At 52.1% G+C, this 18721-nt stretch overlaps 1 protein-coding gene across 2 annotated transcripts in view, besides 5 other annotated features; it reads left to right on the top strand.

The window, feature by feature from the left end:
* The window catches only part of ARL3 (ARF like GTPase 3), a 40667-nt gene extending 37304 nt beyond the window's left edge, over nt 1–3363 (top strand). For both annotated transcript variants that reach the window (NM_004311.4, XM_017016260.2), the window contains exon 6: nt 153–3363. In NM_004311.4, the coding sequence (NP_004302.1) occupies nt 153–200 (48 nt within the window). In that variant the 3' untranslated portion in view covers nt 201–3363. The remainder of the gene's footprint in view (nt 1–152) is intronic.
* Nucleotides 2740–3289: an enhancer, noted in NCBI's record as "H3K4me1 hESC enhancer chr10:104433562-104434111 (GRCh37/hg19 assembly coordinates)". NCBI's record gives its function as "activates a minimal SCP1, AML or CMV promoter by ChIP-STARR-seq in primed H9 embryonic stem cells {active_cell/tissue: H9 hESC(primed)}" and the evidence as "EXISTENCE:reporter gene assay evidence [ECO:0000049][PMID:30033119]".
* Nucleotides 6193–6794: an enhancer, noted in NCBI's record as "NANOG-H3K4me1 hESC enhancer chr10:104430057-104430658 (GRCh37/hg19 assembly coordinates)". NCBI's record gives its function as "activates a minimal SCP1, AML or CMV promoter by ChIP-STARR-seq in naive H9 embryonic stem cells {active_cell/tissue: H9 hESC(naive)}" and the evidence as "EXISTENCE:reporter gene assay evidence [ECO:0000049][PMID:30033119]".
* Nucleotides 6795–7396: an enhancer, noted in NCBI's record as "NANOG-H3K27ac-H3K4me1 hESC enhancer chr10:104429455-104430056 (GRCh37/hg19 assembly coordinates)". NCBI's record gives its function as "activates a minimal SCP1, AML or CMV promoter by ChIP-STARR-seq in primed H9 embryonic stem cells {active_cell/tissue: H9 hESC(primed)}" and the evidence as "EXISTENCE:reporter gene assay evidence [ECO:0000049][PMID:30033119]".
* Nucleotides 7397–7999: an enhancer, noted in NCBI's record as "H3K27ac-H3K4me1 hESC enhancer chr10:104428852-104429454 (GRCh37/hg19 assembly coordinates)". NCBI's record gives its function as "activates a minimal SCP1, AML or CMV promoter by ChIP-STARR-seq in naive and primed H9 embryonic stem cells {active_cell/tissue: H9 hESC(naive and primed)}" and the evidence as "EXISTENCE:reporter gene assay evidence [ECO:0000049][PMID:30033119]".
* Nucleotides 15767–15826: a silencer, noted in NCBI's record as "silent region_2769". NCBI's record gives its function as "represses an Ori minimal core promoter by ATAC-STARR-seq in GM12878 lymphoblastoid cells {active_cell/tissue: GM12878}" and the evidence as "EXISTENCE:reporter gene assay evidence [ECO:0000049][PMID:35858748]".

Raw genomic sequence — 18721 nt, 5'->3', positions numbered from 1 at the left:
CACCCAGGTGGGCCCCTGAGCCAAGCAAACTCCCTAAAGCTGGCGGTCTGGGAGGGAGGGCCTGGGACCCCCACTGCCCGCCCCTCCAGGCTAGAGTGTGTGGTGCTTTTCTTATAACTAACACTGCCTTTCTCTGCCCATTTCCCTCAAAGGATGGCATGAACTGGGTCTGCAAAAATGTCAATGCAAAGAAGAAATAAAATCTAGACGAATGGAGATGCAGGAGCTGCGGGAGCCGAATTCGGTCCTGAAAAACACTAATTTGCTGCTTTCTGACCAAATGTTTTTCCATCTGTGTACAGCTCCAGCTGTTTGAAGAGAGGGAACAACACGGTTTAGAAAGAATCCCCATTCCAGCAGTAGATTTAACTGATCTCTGAGGTTCAGTATCATTTTTCAAATAAAGGAATTATATTATTTCCTCTGCATAATTGAAATAGTATTAAATGTCTCAAAGCACATGATTAGAAAATGAGATCTTTTAAATGAGCAAGAGATTGCATTGCAGTTTAGACAATTCCAGTGGGCTTTTTTTTCCTCTCAAAAAAAAAAAAAGAAAAAGAAAAAGAGGAAGAAGCAGCTTTGCTGAGTTCATTTATTTACTGACCCGTCCCTTGCATTCCCTCCATGGTTTTGAAACCACAGACAGTGTTTGCTGGTGCTGTCAGTGATTTTTACCGTCACTAGCCCAGCCAGGCTTCAGTCTGTCCGACAGGAAGCTGCTGGGTGGGGGTGGGGGGAGAAAAGGCAGATAATTAAACCATCTCATCGTCTTGCAGGTCGGAGACTACGTATGTAATCCTCACTCTTTGGACAGAAAAAAAAAAAAAAGTCTTTCTTGCAGACAAGTCACTACAGAAACATACCCCATCCCACCCACCCCTGCCTCTGCCCCAGCCAGCCACACAGAGAAGCAAATTCTTATGACTTTTGACTGTAATGACATCTGGAATGTAAGGAGAGGTGGGAGGTTTAATTCCAGAAAAATTACAAGGTCCTTAAAAAGCTCTCACATCGAGGGCTCAGGCTAGCGTAAACAGGCTTTCTCCAGCTCAGTGGAGCAGTGAGCAGCCGACTCTGAGATTAGCTGGCTTCTCCACGGCCGTCCTATAGACAGGATTTCTAAAGCTCAAAGAATTCTGTGTTTAAACGATCACAATAGGCCGCTGCTATCAGATTTTAGAAATAAATGCAGCTTTACCATGAACCTGCTCCACTGAGAAAAGCCAGGCAGATCGATTTTTAGATCAATTTTTACAGTGCTGGCAACTTGGTGGTGTGGGATGCTCCTGGATGGAGAGGGTTTGCTGCTGGGGAGGACATGGGTGTGTGTGTGACTGCAGGGGTCGTGTCCAAGGAATCAAGAGTCACCCCAGCTGCTGGGCTCCTCTGCCTCTCTGCAGCAGAATGTCCGTCCTCTGTTGATTGATTGGAGAGGAATAGCAGAACATTTCTCCTGCCCCTCGTTGCAAAACGAGCTTGTTTCCCTGAACCTCAGAAATCCTCAGCTTCAAACATGGGGAAACAGGCCAGAGCATTGCCCGGCTCCTGAATTAAACTCTGTTCTGGTGCCTGAGCTCAGGGGTTTTCAGAGAATGAATAAGAGACTGTCCAGTGACTGGTGGGTCCCTGGGGGCCAGCTGCCTTCTCATCCTGGGAGGTGGCCCTTCCCAAGCCCATCAGGGCGTGTGAGCAGACTGAAGGGGCCGCTGCAGCCCCTGGCCCTCAATACCCAGCTGCTTCTGGCTAAGAGTGCAGCAGAGACTGAGGCATAGCCAGCTTCAAAAGCGATCTGACATGAAAGTCATTAACAAAGCCAGCCGTGAAAAGGTGCCCCAGAGTTGCTGTGGACAGACCTGTAAGGACTTGCAAAACAAAAGAAAGTGAGGGGTTTTTTTAACCTCAGAGCTAGCTGCTCTCTGCAGCCTCCTCCACTGGCTTCTCTGGCTCACCCAAGCTCTCCCTTACAGAGGCAACACAGAATTATAAGGAATCAGAAATCCCCCTTCTACCAGGCTGCAAATGTGGCTCTAGCACTTGCAAATTGTTTTTTCTTCCGAATAGTTCAGCAGGGACAAGTTATCTGAGGGGCAAAATGCCTGCTTGGAGGTCTGCAATTTTGGAACACTGCAGTATGGAACTTTGGCATTGGAGGGTCTGTAAAATATTTTTGTTCTTTTACCACCAACTTAGGGGACTGTTTTAAAGAGCCATCCCAAGGCCTCTCCTAGCAGGCAGAAGCCACTCCTCTGATAACGGCCTCTGTAAATGTTCTGATTTGCTCTCAGCTGCAGAGACACAGAGACACTGCAGATGTCACACGCTTTCATCTTCCCTTTGAGCCCTTTTGAACCCTCCTGGGGCTCTGGGGTAGATGAGAGAAGCCTGAAAAAGGCAGAGTTTGAAAGCTCCCATTTAAAAACAAAATACTTTTTAAAGCCCTCTTGCCTCTTCCCTGCCCACTCCTGCCCCCTGACCAGAAGACAGAATTTGAAGCTGGAAAGGGAAGACCCCTTTTCCCCTCCTCCTGTCCCCAGTGAGTCTTAGCGAGACTTTTGCCCTGCGCACAATTGCATCTGAATGTGCGGGGGAGAGGGCTGGGGGCCGGAGGGCAGGCAAGGCCTGGGGGGTGCTCGTGATATGTGCTCAAGCCAGTTGTGGGAAAAACTCGAGTCCTCCCCTCCTCCCGACCTACCCCGTGTGGCTGCTTTTGGCTGGATTCCCTGCACCCAGTGCAACACACCCTTTCCCCTTCACTCTCCCTTGGTTACTATGGAAACAAGGGTGTCATTGATGTGGGCTGAGCTGGGGAACATGTCGGTGCACAGCTGAAAGTCAGCGATTATGCCGGCGGTTAGAAATGTGCCAGGGTTAAAGGAGTCCGCAGCTCCCACGGCTGCTGGGAGGACATGGTCCTGCCCCCTTCCTTCCTCCCTCCCTCCGTCTCCACTTCTCTCTCCTTGCTTTTGACAAATTTCTTTATTCCCCTCTGGACTAAAGTAGTGGCTATTTTTGTGCCACTCTGCGCCCCACCCTCACTGTTGGCCGCTCCTTATCCGGCCTGGCCTGGAGGGTGACACCATGTCACCCTCACCAGGACTCGTCTCTCCATTCCCGTCAGAGTTTGCTTTGATTTCCCTTTCCTTTCCTTCTCGGGGACCAGTTCTTACTTCCTTTTATTTTTAGCTCTGCACTCCATGTGGTTTCAGGGTTCAGTCTGATCCATCAAAAGGTTCTTTTTTTATAATCCCTTTTGAAAATGATAATCAAAGGAAGAGATGTGGTGTTTGGTCATGTGGAAAACTCAATGTATAATTTAGACGTCTGTCAAAAATCCGACAAATAAAATTTAGCTGGAACGAAGGCAGCCTGGAATGTGTTGTGTTCTTTGCTGAAGCTCAGAGAGGGCCTGAAATGTGTTTGTCCTTTCAGGGGTTAGCTTTCTTCAAGAGGTTTTTTCCAGAAGGATATATATATAAAATAGGATACCAACAATAGCAATAATAGCCCTTCATTAAGCCCCTCCTACGTGCCGGGCACTTCAGATACATCGTGGTGAGCATTAGTCCCCCTTTGCAGCAGAGGACATTGAGACATTTGCCCCAGTTAAGGAATTTGCCTGAAATCACAGAGCCTTTAAGTGCAGGTGGGGCCTGGAGCCTGGGTCTCAATGCTCAGCAAGCTGCCGCCTCTGGAGAACAAAAACAGTCAATGGCAAGGCCGGATCACGCCTGTAATCCCAGCACTTTCAGAGGCCAAGGCAGGTAGATCTCCTGAAGTCAGGAGTTCAAGACGAGCCTGACCAACATGGTGAAATCCCGTCTCTACTAAAAATACAAAATTAGCCGGGCGTGGTGGCACGTGCCTGTAATCCCAGCTGCTTGGGAGGCTGAGGCAGGAGAATTGCTTGAACCCAGGAGTCAGAGGTTGCAGTGAGCTGAGATCGTGCCATTGCACTCCAGCCTGGGCAACAGGAGAAAACTCCATTGCAAAAAAAAAAAAAAAAAAAAAATTTGTCAATGGCTCATCTCCCAGCAGCCTCAGCCCCCCCAGCCTCTGAGTGCTACTTCTGCCCAGCCTCCTCCCCTCAGCCTCTGACAAGCACTGCTCCCCTGGGTTCCCTGCCCCAGGTGTTGGGTGTCCTCTGCTCACACAGCACAACCATAGACTGGGTTTCATCCTTGGCCAAGTCCAGCCCAACAGACAGGAAAAAGGGAGAAGAAATAATTAGCAAAGTTAGGGCCTTCAGGGAGACTTGCAGTTACATAGTACCTAATACTGGATCTTCCATTTACAGAGGGTTCCGAGAGGGAACAGACCTGCCCAGTGTTACATGGAAGGTGCAGAGTTGGCAGCTGTCCCGGGCTCTGCCCTCTGGAGCAGAAGAGTTCGTTGTCCCTTCAGCAGGCTAGAGACACAGCAGCACAGCTGGTCCCAAAGGGCCTCACCATTTGTGTGTGTGTGTGTGTGTTTTGTGTTTTTGAGACAGGACTTCGCTCTGTCACCCAGGCTGGAGTGCAGTGGCACAGTCACAACTCACTGCAGCCTCAACCTCCTGGGCTCAGGCCATCCTCCCAACTCAGCCTCCCAAGTGGCTGGGACTAGAGGCATGTACCACCATGTCTGGCTAATTTTTTTTTTTTTTTTTTGAGACAGTCTCGCTCTGTCGCCCAGGCTGGAGTGCAGTGGCGCAATCTCAGCTCACTGCAAGCTCCGCCTCCCGGGTTCATGCCATTCTCCCACCTCAGCCTCCCTAGTAGCTGGGACTACAGGCGTCTGTCACCACGCCGGCTAACTTTTGGGGTTTTTTTGTATTTTTAGTAGAGATGGGGTTTCACCGTGTTAGCCAGGATGGTCTCAATCTCCTGACCTCGTGATCTGCCCACCTCGGCCTCCCAAAGTGCTGGGATTACAGGCGTGGGCCACTGCGCCCGGCCTTTAAAGAGCAAGCTGTGGGCAGAACTAGCTGGTAGCTGGAAGCAGGAGAAAGAAGAATTAGGGTTGCCAGATACATTACAGAACATTCAGTTAAACTTGAATTTCAGATAAACAATGAATAGTTTTTAATTCAAGTATATCCCATGCAATATTTGGGACATCAGTATAACATTAGAAAAATGCATTGTTTACCTTAAATTCAAATTTAACTGGCCATCCTAGCTTTTTGGTTTTGTTTTGATAAAGCTGGCAAAACCCTTCCCAGCACTCCCTGCCCAAAAAAGGGACAGCGCAGTGCAATTAAAAAGTGTGGCTGGGTGCGGTGGCTTATGCCCATAATCCCAGCATTTTCATGTTGACTAGGTCAGCACAGGGAGATTTAAAAGAGATCTCATGTAAACAAAGTGCCTAGATCTAGGACAATACCTAGCACATAGAAGGAACATTCCATGCCTCAGTTTCTTTTTCTTTTCTTTTTTTTTTTGGAGACGGAGTTTCGCTCTTCTGCCCAGACTGGAATTCAGTGGCACGATCTCGGCTCACTGCAACCTCCACCTTCCAGGTTCAAGCGATTCTCCTGCCTCAGCCTCCCGAATAGCTGGGATTACAGGCATGTGCCACCATCCCCAGCTAATTTTTGTATTTTTCGTAGAGATGGGGTTTCACCATATTGACTAGGCTGGTCTTGAACTCCTGACCTCAGGTGATCCACGTGCTTTGGCCTCCCAAAGTGCTGGGATTATAGGCGTGAGCCACCGTGCCTGGCCCTCAGTTTCTTATCTTCAAAATTGGGCAATAATCATGCTGCACAGTTGTCAAGAGGATGAGATGAGATGTCCGTACAGTGAGTAGTAGGTGCTAAATCAATGGTAGCAAATATAACAGCTGGCAGAAAGTCTGGAGTCCAGGCTTTCCAAGGCCCCTAAGACCTCTACCTCCCACCTTCCCTCCCATGTGGCTCTGTGACTTTCAAGGCCAGCAGCCCCCTCCCTTCGGGACTCCCAGGGCCACCCCAACCACACCTCCTGCTTAGCTTTGTAAGTGGGAAAGGCTCTTATCAGAGGCTCCTGATTGGCTCCAGGCGCAAACACAGTTTAGTGCTCAGTCAAGCTGCATCTCACGGCCTCTGTCCCTGTCTCCCCCTCATCCCCCTTAATTGCAATCTGTTCTGTAATTTCCTTTTCCAACACTGCAGAACACAGAGAAGCTGCAGCCACCAGGAGCAGGGGCAGGGAGGAGAGAAAGAGAGCCCTGGCTCCCTGCAGTCATTCTGCTGGTCCAGCACTGGTGTGTGTGTGTGTCCAGAACCAACCACACACAGGCGTGGAAGTGCAGCCAACAACCAGTCCCCCACAGTGTCAGAACCGGGGGAAAGAGTTAAGGAGGTAGCCACTTGCACCAGGTACTTCACAGTTACCTTATTTAATCCTCGCAAAGACACTGTTAACTGTAGGTATTGTCATTCACAGTATGAGGATGGGGCTCATAGAATTTGAATCACTCGCCCATGATCGCACAGGAAGAACTGGGCACAGTCAGGATTTGAACTCAGGCCTATTTCACTGCTGGGTCCCAAATTTATACCACAATACCTGTTTGCTTTTGGCTCCTAATGCTCTGCTCTCAGAAAAGGAGCTAAGGAATCCTTCTGCACGAAGGAACACGGAACAGTTTCTTCTCCAGAGCGAATAGCAGTGTCCCAGGGACAAAAAGCCTTTGCTAAAGAAATGAAATATTAATGACAGAACTGCAGAAAGCAAGCTGTGTCCAGGAGGGGGCAGGGAGAATTTGCTTGGATACCTGAAGCTGAGAGGTACAGGGTTGGGGTCAGAATCCCATTTAGCTAAGCCAACTGCTTCTCCTTTGAGTCATTAGTGGGTCTCATCCTTTGATTAGCCCTACAAGATAGCCGTTTACTGTCCCTAGTTCCCAGATGATGAAACCAAGGCTCACAAAGGTTAAGTCACTTGCCCAGAGTCACACAGCTAGGAAATGGCTTGACTGTGATTCCCGCCAGCCCACTTGCTGAAAGCCCATTTTATTCCATGATGCCACCCCAGGGAGGTAGGTGAGAGGCGGCCCTCGCTTTTTGCCACTCACCCTGTTTTCAGGATCCAGAAGACCCTGCCCTGGGGTCCCAGAGTCAGCTGCTGCTCTGGATGCCACCAGTAGAGGGGGCAGGAGGTGCCCAGCCCCACCCTTACAACCAAGGAAAGGGCCTGGGGAGGCTGTTGTAGTTGGGGCTTTGGCCTGGGATCAGCTGCCTCCACTTCCACCCAGGACTCAGAAGCCCCTGTGCCAGCCCCCTGGAGGCACAGCCCTAGGAGCCCCCCAAGACCGCTGGAGCAGGAGGAGAAAGAGCTCACCATAGGAGACACACGGGCTCCGTCCACAGGCAGGCCCTCTTGGCCACATTCCTAACACTAGAGAGGCCTGTCACCCAGGCCACCACTGACTCATGTGGGAGATTATGCCCCACACCAGAGTACAAGGCGTGGCACCAGCTGCAGGCCCCTCAGCCAGTTCCCTTGGGTAGGGCACAAGCTGTACAGCTACACTTGGCCCTGCCTGTGACACCAGCCAGACCCTTCCCTGGGCCTACATTTCAGCACTGTTCCCCAGCCCAGGCCCAGGCCCACCTAGAGCACCTGGTCCCGGGCTGGAGCCCAGCATTCTCCTTCCCTAGCCCTCCTTGCTGCCAGGACGTCAGAATCCTGCAGAATGATGCTGGTCCACCAACCTCAGCCCCCTTGGATTCCCTTTGGAGGCACAGAGCAAGCCTGGTCTAGGGTTGTCACATAGGAATGGGGCTTCCCTCGAGTCTCCAGGGGACAGTGCCAAAGCAGTTTTCCTGCTGGAATGCTACAGATGGCTTCTGGGAAGATGGGGATAAGAAGCTTTGGTTTGTAAACAACAGCCCATCCTGGACCAAGGGATCCAATCCAGCCCAACTCTTCCCTCACTCTCCCCAGCTCCTATGGGGATGCAGCCTGGATTTCATCCTTACTCATGCCCCAGGCCCCTTTCCCGCCCTGAGACCTCCAGATCTGGCATAGCAGCAGGTCGGAAGAAGAAAAAGCAGGAGGAAGGGGCATTCAGGGGCTGAGATGCTGATCCAGGCAGTGGGGGAGGCATCTGCACAGCTGCAGGCAGCCCCCCTACCCCCAGTCTGTGAATGGGTACATCACCCTCTCCCGCCCGCCTGCCACTGCTCCTGAAACAGTTGGTCCTAATGAACACTAAGCAAGCAGGGCAGCTGTGAGCATGATCCATATGCATGGGAGGTGTATATTTATCCTCACATCCCGCCCCACCCTGCAGCTGCTGCCATCCCCTATGCCAGGAGGGTGAGTGGGCACCAGGGCCCAGCCTGCTCCCGGGCTCCCAGGCCCCCACTTCTCCCAGCCCTCCCTCCCCAACCCACGCCCACAGCCTTCACTTGACCCATTTTGGAGGCAGAAGTTTGTATGTGTGTTTGAGAGAAAGAGAGTGCACACATCATTTCCCTGGTTGGTGCTTTTGATTTCCTCTGAAGCATCTTGATTGCGGATGTACAATGGCATCTTGCTGCCAGTGCTCCCTCAGCAGCTTCTGGCTCCACGCCGCCTCCTCCCTGGAGCCGGGATTTTCTGCTGACTCTGGGGCCCATGGCTAGCTGGCAGGGAAGGGGAAAGCTTGATCCAGGCTTCCATCCCTTGGCTGAGCAGCAGGACCTGGACACCCAGCCACCTGCCTTCCCACTCCTTAGACTGGGTTGAGGGTGCACCCTGAACCCCACCTGTCTCTCCCTTGGCCCTCCCACTGCCTCCCAGCTTGGGCTGGACTCCCCTGCCTGATCCTCCTTTGAGGGGTTAGCGCCATTATTAAAATGCAGTACCCTGCTAAGATGCCTTCAGAGGCCCTGCTGCTGTGGGTCCCTCCAGCCAAACCATTTATCCTGTTATTCAAGGCCCTGCTGATCTGACCCCAAACCTTTTTAATGGACTTATCAGCCATGGACTCCACACAGCCTTTGTGCCCAAGTCTCTCCTCACTACTCCCCCAAGCACAATCCCTACAATTTCATTTTCCCACCTGTGTGCACAGCGACCTCCTCCCTGGGATGTCTGCCCCCTCTTTTGAGCTTTCTGTTCCTTTAGGGCGTGCTTCAAGTCCTACCTCCCTAAGAGGACAGCCGGGTACCCTCTAACCCTCTCCCTGTGAAACCCTTCATCCAGCAAATATCTCTCGAGCAGAAGCAAAACCCCTCCCATAGCCTGTGCCCTGCCCTGTCCCCTCACTGCCTTGTCTGACCTCATCACTTGCTACTCTCTCCCACCCCCAACACTTTCCAGCTGCCCTCGCCCCCTGACTCTTCCTGAAACAACATTTTCTGCCTGAGGCCTTTGCACTGGTTCTCTCTGCCAGAAGCATTCTAGCTCCAAGTATCCCCCAGATCTTGCCCCCCCAAATTCTGAGGTTTCTGCTCAATGCCACCTCCTCAGCCAGACTGCCCAGTCCTCCCTGTAAACACTTCCACACCCCCTCCCCTTCTGGTATCCCCTGTGCCCCCACCTGCTTTGCCTTCCTGGACTGTACTTATCGCCAACTCATGGTGACTTTTTTTTTTTTTTTTTGAGATGGAGTTTCATTCTTGTTGCCCAGGCTGGAGTGCAGTGGTGCGATCTCGGCTCCCTGCAACCTCCGCCTCCCAGGTTCAAGCAATTCTCCTGCCTCAGCCTCCCAGGTAGCTGGGACTACAGGTGCCCGCCCCGCCACCACGCCCGGCTAATTTTTTTGTATTTTTATTAGAGACGGGGTTTCACCATGTTAGCCAGGATGGTCTCAATTTCCTGACCTCGTGATCCGCCTGCCTCGGCCTCCCAAAGTGCTGGGATTACAGGCATGAGCCACCGTGCCTGGCCTTTTTTTTTTTTTGAGACGGAGTCTTGCTCTGTTGCCCAGGTCAGAGTGCAGTGGCACGATCTCGGCTCACTGCAACCTTTGCCTCCTGAGTTCAAGTGATTCTCCTGCCTCAGCCTCCCAAGTAGCTGGGACTACAGGCGCATGCATCACCACGCCCGGCTAATTTTTGTGTTTTTAGTAGAGACGGAGTTTTGCCATGTTGGCCAGGCTGGTCTCGAACTCCTGACCTCGGGTGATCTGCCCACCTCGGCCTCCCAAGTGCTGGGATTACAGGTGTGAGCCACTGCGCCCAGCCTCACAGTGACTTTTTTTTTTTTTTTTGGAGACGGAGTCTCACTCTGTCGCCCAGGCTGGAGTGCAGTGGTGTGATCTCGGCTCACTGCAACCTGCGCCTCCCAGGTTCAAGCAATTCTCCTGCCTCAGCATCCCGAGTAGCTGGGATTACAGGCATGTGCCACCATGCCTAGCTAATTTTTTTGTATTTTTAGTAGAGACAGGGTTTCACCATGTTGCCCAGGCTGGTCTCGAACTCCTGAGCTCAGGCAATCTGCCTGCCTTGGCCTCTCAAAGTGCTAGGATTACAGGCATTAGCCACCAGGCCCGGCCTCTCACGGTGACTTCTTTAGGGTTGATTGTCTAGCTCTTCCCCACAGATGATCAGCTCCAAGATGGCAGAGTTTGTTTTGTTCGCTGCTATATCCCTGACATTGAAGCAATGCCTGGAACAAGAAGGAGCTCAATAATGACTTATTGGATGAATGAATGAATGAAACAAACATACAGGCATTGTGCTAGGCCCTGAAAAAAAAATCAGAGCTGACTCACATTCACGTCCTCCAGGCACTCACAGCCTAGTTGGACATTAAGCCAGGCAGCTTGCAACTTAACCTGTGAACCACAATTAGTTAAAATCCAAAGTGAGGGAGCGAAGTGCATGGGAGTATGGCTGGCCCAAAGGAACATAAACATTGTGATAGCTGCGGATGCCTGAAAGTCACCTATGCCAGCACCAGACCTGGCACTCATATGCATCGTCTCATTACCCCTTAGCCACTCTCTGCAGAGGGGGCGGGGGCCACGAGGGCTGCACAGAGGTGAGACTTTGAGGCTAGAGAGTCAGTCCAGGCAGAGGGTCAGCAAGTCCAAAGCCAGTGAGGCATGGAAGCACGCAGGTTGCAGGCAGACTGACTTCCAGCATATGGTGTGCTGGGTGGAGACTAGGGAGCTGCAGCGGGCGGGACTGGCATTTGGTGTGGCTGGTAAGTCCCTCTTAGGCCACAAGCTGCACATCTGCATCCATGCCCCCTCCCAGCTCAGTGCCCTGCAGCAGGCATGCACATGGGTAGTGTCTGATGGCAACAACCAATTCACAACCAGGCAGCCAGGACATTTATTTTTATTTATGTATTTTTTTGGGACGGAGTTTCACTCTTGTTGTGCAGGCTGGAGTGCAATGATGTGCTCTTGGCTCACTGCAACGTCCGCCTCCCGGGTTCAAGCAATTCTCCTGCCTCAGCCTCCTGAGTAACTGGGATTACAGACGCCCACCACCACGCCCGGTTAATTTTTGTGTTTTTAGTAGACATGGGATTCCACCGTGTTGGCCAGGCTGGTCTCGAACTCCCGACCTCAGGTGATCCGCCCGCCTCAGCCTCCCAAAGTGCGGGGATCACAGGTGTGAGCCACCGCGCCTGGCCCAGGACTTTTATATGTCAAATGATTCACTGCTGTTTTTTTTTCCAGGTGGACCAGAAGTTCATACCACCTTTACACCCAGTTCTTGGAACACCCCTCCCTGCATTCTACTTCTGAGATGGAATTCTGTGCCATCTCTTTTTTTTGAGACTAAAGTCTCACTCTTGTCACCCAGGCTGGAGTGCAGTAGTGAGATCTCGGCTCACTGCAACCTCCATCTCCCGGGTTCAGGCGATTCTCCTGCCTCAGCCTCCTGAGTAGCTGGGATTACAGGCGCCTGCTACCACTCCTGGCTAATTTTTGTACTTTTAGTAGAGACGGGGTTTCACCATGTTGGCCAGGCTAGTCTTGAACTCCCGACCTCAGGTGATACACCGGCCTCAGCCTCCCAAAGTGCTGGAATTACAGGCATGAGCCAGTGCACCCGGCCATTCTGTGCCTTCTCTAAGCCCCCATGCTACAAGCTGCATACCACCTCATGTATCGCCCCCTGCTTGCCTCAGTGTAAATAATAATAATAAAAAAAATCTGTATCACAGAGCAGATGGGTCCTTTCTCAAGAAAGAGCCAATTATTGAAGATCTAGTGCAAGGAGAAGTCATAAATATCCCAGTTTGCTACAGTTGAGAGGCATTAACCACACAAAAGTGAAAGAAAACTGGTCTCTCGTGAAGGAAACATTCGAAGACCCCCCTAGTGCAGAGCTCTGGGATAAGTCCAGGCCACTGCACTCCAGCCTGGATGACAGAGCAAGACTCTGTCTCAAAAAAAAAAAAAAAGAGAGAATGGATATGGTAGAGACCACAGCTCTGTCCATCAGCTTTCTATTGGTTATGTCGAAGGACTTTCACTGTGACAGTGACATCCTGAGGTTGTGGGCTGTGTAGGAATTCCAGCAGGGTTGGAACACATGCTATCCTGGAAAGGAAGACAGACTTTGGGATTCAGGTGGAAGGACACAGTGTTAGGAAAGAAAGACGGAAGCTAAAGCTGAAGGAAGAAGCTCATGTTCTTGGGGCCAGCCCCTTCCTGGTCCAGGCGGATCCCTTCTCACCATAAGCCCCTCAACCCTAGCAGCCTCTGCCCCATACTGTGAAGTATTTCCCATTTCTCCCAGCCTCCAAAGAAGATTCTGGAAGCTTAGCCCTGGAAAAGCCTGAACCCCAGGCCCTGCCCCAGCTCTTCTGCACAGAGTATAAGACAGAGGCAATCTAGGGCCGGGCGTGGTGGCTCACGCCTGTAATCCCAGCACTTTGGGAGGCCGAGGTGGGCAGATCACAAGGTCAGGAGATCGAGACCATCCTGGCTAACACAGTGAAACCCCGTCTCTACTAAAAATACAAAAAAATTAGCCGGGCAAAATTAGCCGGGCGTGGTGGCAGGCGCCTATAGTCCCAGCTACTGGGGAGCCTGAGGCAGGAGAATGGCGTGAACCTGGGAGGCGGAGCTTGCAGTGAGCCGAGATCGTCACTGCACTCCAGCCTGGGCAACAGAGCGAGACTCCGTCTCCCCAAAAAAAAAAAAAAAAAAAGACAAAGGCCGTCTAAGAGTGCTCTCAATTTCCTTCCTTGCCCTCTTAACAAAAACAAACAGGACCCAGAGGATTCTAGAACCAGCACCAGAATCCGGGTTCTGGAGACCACTGTTTCTAAAGCTCCTCCAAGGAAGAATTTTCCAAAAACACGCAGGGAGACTTATTTTATTTTATTTATTTTATTTTATTTTATTTTATTTTATATTTTATTTTATTTTATTTTATTTTAATTTTATTTTATTTTATTTATTTTATTTTATTTTATTTTATTTTATATTTTATTTTATTTTATTTTATTTATTTTGAGACGGAGTCTTGCTCTGTCACCCAGGCTGGAGTGCAGTGGCGCAATCTCGGCTCACAGCAACCTCCACCTCCCAGGTTCAAGCAATTCTCCTGCCTCAGTCTCCCAAGTAGCTGGGATTACAGGCACCCACCAACATGCCCTGCTAATTTTTGTATTCTTACTAGAGACAGGGTTTCACCATGTTGGCCTGGCTGGTCTCCAACTCCTGACCTCAGGCAATCCACCTGCCTCGGCCTCCCAAAGTGCTGGGATTACAGGCATAAGACACCATGCCAGGCATTTTATTTATTTTATTTTATTTATTTTATTTTATTTTATTTATTTTATTTTATTTTATTTTATTTTATTTTTTATTTTATTTATTTTATTTTATTTTATTTTATTTATTTTATTTTATTTATTTTATTTTATTTTATTTACTTGAGACAGGGTCTCGCTCTGTCGTCCAGGCTGGAGTTCAGTGGTGCAATCACAGCTCACTGCAGCCTTGACCTCCCAGGCTCAAGGGATCCTCCAGCACTCAAGTGATCCTCTTGCCTCAGCCTCCTGAGTAGCTGAGACCACACATGCCAGCACGTCAGGTTAAATTTTTAATTTTTTGTGGGTTTTTGTTTTGTTTTGTTTTGTTTTTGAGACAGAGTCTTGCTCTGTGGCCCAGGCTGGAGTGCAGTGACACGATCTCGGCTCACTGCAAGCTCTGCCTCCTGGGTTCACACCATTCTCCTGCCTCTGCCTCCCGAGTAGCCAGGACTACAAGTGCAGGCCACCACGCCCAGCTAATTATTTGTATTTTTAGTAGAGACGGGGTTTCACTGTGTTAGCTAGGATAGTCTCGATCTCCTGACCTCATGATCCTCCCGCCTCAGCCTCCCAAAGTGCTGGGATTACAGGCGTGAGCCACCGTGCCGGCCTTTTTTTTTTTTTTTTTTTTTTGATATGGAGTCTCGCGCTGTCACCCCAGTTGGAGTGCAATGGCGCCATCTCGGCTCACTGCAACCTCCGCCTCCCCTGTTCAAGCGATTCTCCTGCCTCAGGCTCCCCAGTAGCTGTGATTGCAGGTGCCCACCACCACACCCAGATAATTTTTTTTTTTTGAGAGGAAGTCTTGCTCTGTCCCGAGGCTGGAATGCAGTGGCACGATCTCTGCTCAGTGCAACCTCCGCCTCCCAGTTTCAAGCGATTCCCCTGCCTCAGCCTTCCAAGTAGCTGGAATTACAGGCATGTGCCTTCACGCCCAGCTAAGTTTTTGTATTTTAGTAGAGACAGGGTTTCACCATGTTGGCCAAGATGGTCTCCATCTCCTGACCTCGTAATCCGCCTGCCTCAGCCTCCCAAAGTGCTGGGATTACAGGTGTGAACAACCGTGCCCGGCCCAGATAATTTTTTTTATTTTTAGTAGAGTTGGGCTTTCACCATGTTGGCCAGGCTGGTCTCGAACTCCTGACCTCAAGTGATCTGCTTGCCTTGGCCTCCCAAAGTGTTGGGATTACAGGCATGAGCCACCGCGCCCAGCCTAATATTTTAATTTTTTATAGAGACAGGATCTCCTTATACTGCCCATGCTGGTCTCATCAAGGGATCCTCCTGCTTCAGCCTCCCAAAGTGCTGGGATCACCTTAGAAGAGGGGCTGTAGTGTGGTGATGTCTGTCTGGGGATACCCAGGAATCACGACTCCAGCTCCTTCACCTCCCACACTTTCATAGGGTCAGCCCTGCTCCCATTTCTTAGTAGGCCAGAGTGGGAGGTTGGGGAAGGACATGCCTCTGATCCTCCCTCCAGGGCCTCCTCCCCCAGAATTTACAGGCTGCAGAGGTGGGGTAGGGAATCCCCCAGGCGGCTAGATGGGTCCTGGGTCCTGAAGTTGCGAATCGAATTGGTTCTCCCCCACCCTCGGATGGGAGAAGATGAGGGTGTCTTAGGAAGGCCATGGTGACAATGACAGGATCTGAGTGGGAGAGTGTTAGCAAGGCCTGTTAAGAACCCTGAGGTGAGGTCACAGCTTGGAGAGAGGGGCCCTGGGGTGCGGACTCAGTGGGTCAGGGCATCCACCCTCGTCTCCTGCCTCCCACCCCAGGGTGCCCTTTGAAGCTGGAGGGGGCTTTGAGCTGGGGTCTCCTGGCCAGATGCGCTGGGAGAAGGGGTGGAGCCGATCATCCCCTAGGCCTCGCCCTCTCCACCCCCACCCTTCAGACTCCCTTCTTGGCCCAAAGACCGTTTCCGGCAGTTGCAGGGGGCACCCATCACCCCCCAGGCTCCTGCCTTGCAGCTGTTCCCCAGCTGCCCTGCCCCACCCCAAAGACAGCTGGGAGCGAGGCCGAGGGAGGGGGCAGGAGCGGCCCAGCTGCTTGGCTCCGGGCTGGGATGGGGAGGGCGGCAACATGAAAGAGCTGGGGCCGGCAGGCAGCAGAGGAAACCACCCCCACCCACTCCCTCGCGGTGGCCTCGCTGCGGGCTCAGCACATCTGGGCCACAGGAGCTGTCGGCCCCAGTCTGTGGGGTAGGGAGACGTGGTCAGATCCCCAACCCTTCCCGGAAAGGGGAGGCGTGATGGCCTTTGGGGGAAGGCAGGAGGGGAGGGCTGGGCACTGGGGCACCTGTGGCTGCAGCCAGCCCTCCAAGGGGCCACCAGTTCAGGGCAGAGAAGGCCCCTCCGATGACTTCTGAATAAGCCTGTTCCCTGGGGCAGCCCCAGCTCTTTCTGGGCCTCCTCTGCCCCGACCCTTTTGGGAGCTGGGTGACAGCTGCTCCTACAAAGCCAGGGACAGCTGGGTGGCTGGGGACAGCTGGGTGGGTTAGCGTCTCCCTGCTTCCCTGGCTGCCTAGGGAACCCCCCCCAAGCCAACTCTGGGCAGCTGCTGCTTCACCTATAGATGTGTGCCTGAGCGTGTCATTGTCTGGAGTGGGCTTCAAAGCTGGGACATGGAGGGGCTCAAGCCCATCCCATTCCCACCAGAATGTCCCCTCCACATCTCAGTGGATTGACGCACCTGGGGAAAGGGCCTCTCCCCTCAGCCAAAACAAAACTAGGCCAAGTGGGAAAGAAATTAGGCAGCTTTTTATCTTGGCTCCCAACTCTTGGCACGGGGGATGTCTCAGGGCTCCTGAGAACTGGAGAAAGGGACAGTGAGACAGAAGCAGATTTGAGTGGAGTGAAGTGACTGTCCACCGGCACCTGCCCCCAGGCATCCTGCACCCTGGGCTGGAGGGGCACTGTGCTCCAGTCATTTCCCCACTCCCTTTAGCCCCAAACAGGTGCACGGGGAGGGAAGGGGTAGGCCAGCTGTTGTCATACTGCTCCTGGCTCCCTGCCACACTGGGGAGGGGAACAATGAAGCAAGGGTCCACCACCCCACCCGAGTCATCCTCTACTCCCTCAGGGCAGGAAGGCGGAGGCAGTTAGCAAGACCAAGGCTATGGTTTGGTCTGGCCAGCCCCAAAGTCTTTATTTTTCTTTTTTTTCTTTGAGACAGGATCTTGCTCTGTTGCCCAGGTTGGAGTGCAGTGGCAAGATCTCAGCTCACTGCAACCTCCACCTCCCAGCCTCAATCAAGCAATCCTCCCACTTCAGCCTCCAGAGTAGCTAGGACCACAGGCCCGTGGCACCACGCCTGGCTAATTTTTCGTTTTAGTAGAGATGGGGTTTCACCATGTGGCCCAGGCTGGTTTTGAACTCCTGAACTCAAGTGATCCATCCACCTTCAAACTGCTGGGATTCCAGGCATGAGCCAACGTGCTCGGCAAGCCTTTATTTTTCTGAGGGGAGGGGTGGCTAGGGGTCAGTGAGGCTTGGACCACTGGCATGGGACTTTTTTTTTTTTTTTTTGAGATGGAGTCTGGCTCTGTCACCCAGGCTGCAGTGCAGTGGCACGATCTCGGCTCACTGCAACCTCTGCCTCCCAGGTTCAAGCGATTCTCCTGCCTCAGCCTCCTGAGTAGCTGGGACTACAGGCGCCCACCACCATGCCGGCTAATTTTTGTATTTTTAATAGAGATGAAATTTCACCACGTTGACCAGGCTGGTCTCGAACTCCCGACCTCAGGTGATCCGCCCATCTCAGCCTCCCAAAGTGCTGGGATTACAGGCATGAGCCACCGCGCCTGGCAGGAATGGGACTTTACAAGGCTGTCTGCCTTGTCCTGGGCTTCCTGGGGTGGGTGGCATTCAGGCCCGGATTCTGCCCAAACAAGAAGAAAGATAACTAGGCACCCAGCAGATTACAGAAGTGCATGGGCTGCGGACTTACAGCTCTGTGCAGAGCATCAGGCAACAACCGGAGCCTTTTTGAAGGTGAGGCCCCTCTCCAGAGAAGGGCCTTGGGGGTGTCCCAGCTTCCTCTCCCCGCAGTGGCCTCTGTGACAAGCAGCAGGGAGGACCCTGACCACCACAATGGCAGCACTTCTCTAAACCCAGGATATGGGAGAATAGAGTTAAAAATGCAAATTCCTGGGCTCTCAGAGATTCCCGATGAGTCTAAGCTAGGCCTCAGGAATCAGCACCCTTACCCTTTTTTTTTTTTTTTTTTTGAGACAGGGTCTTGCTCTGTTGTTTTGTTGCACAGGCTGGAGTGCAGTGACTTGATCTAGACCTACTGCAACCTCTGCCTCCCAGGCTCAAGCAGTTCTCCCACCTCAGTCCCAGAGTAGCTGGGACCACAGGTGTGGTGTGCCCCACCACGCCCAACTAATTCTTGTATTTTTTGTAGAAACAGGGTTCCGACATGTTGCCCAGGCTGGTCTCAAACCCCTGAGCTCAGGCAATTTGCCTTGGCCTCCCAAAATGTCAGGATTACAGGCGTGAGCCACAGCAAGGAATCGGCCCTTTTAACAAGCTCCCAAGACATGCTTGAGACTTTGAGAAGCTCTGCCGAAGTGGATGGGGGCAGGATGTCTTTTTCATCTTGCCACCCCACCTCCACCCCTCCCAAGGCCAAAGCCCCAAGTCCAAAGGAAGTATGGACCTGAGTGGTCCCCTCTCCCTATGGGGTCCAAGGCCCAGCTAGATTACATTCTGTCTCTATGCCTGCAGCCCTGCACAGTGCCTGGCACGTAGTGTGCACTCAAATATTTGTGGCCTGAAGGAGGTAAACTTTGCAAGACTCATAGAAAGGTGTTCCTCCTTCGTCCTCAGCTAAGAGCACATTGGCAGAACCTCAAAGAGATGCCGGGGCCCAGGTGGCATGGGGCTGGGCCTGGGAGGCCCTGGGCAAATATTTGTCAAATGAACCCAAGGCCAAGAGCAGACGGAGTCAGTGCCCGACGAACTGACATTCACAGGCCTGGAACCAGCTGGACCCAGGGGAGCAAAATCAAGGCAAGGAGGGCAGGGGCCCCTCCCCACACC

This window comes from Homo sapiens, chromosome 10 (genome assembly GCF_000001405.40).
Source record: "Homo sapiens chromosome 10, GRCh38.p14 Primary Assembly".
Lineage (NCBI taxonomy): Eukaryota > Metazoa > Chordata > Mammalia > Primates > Hominidae > Homo > Homo sapiens.
Note: the sequence above shows the minus strand (reverse complement) of the source record. Positions and strands in the feature narration are given on the sequence as shown.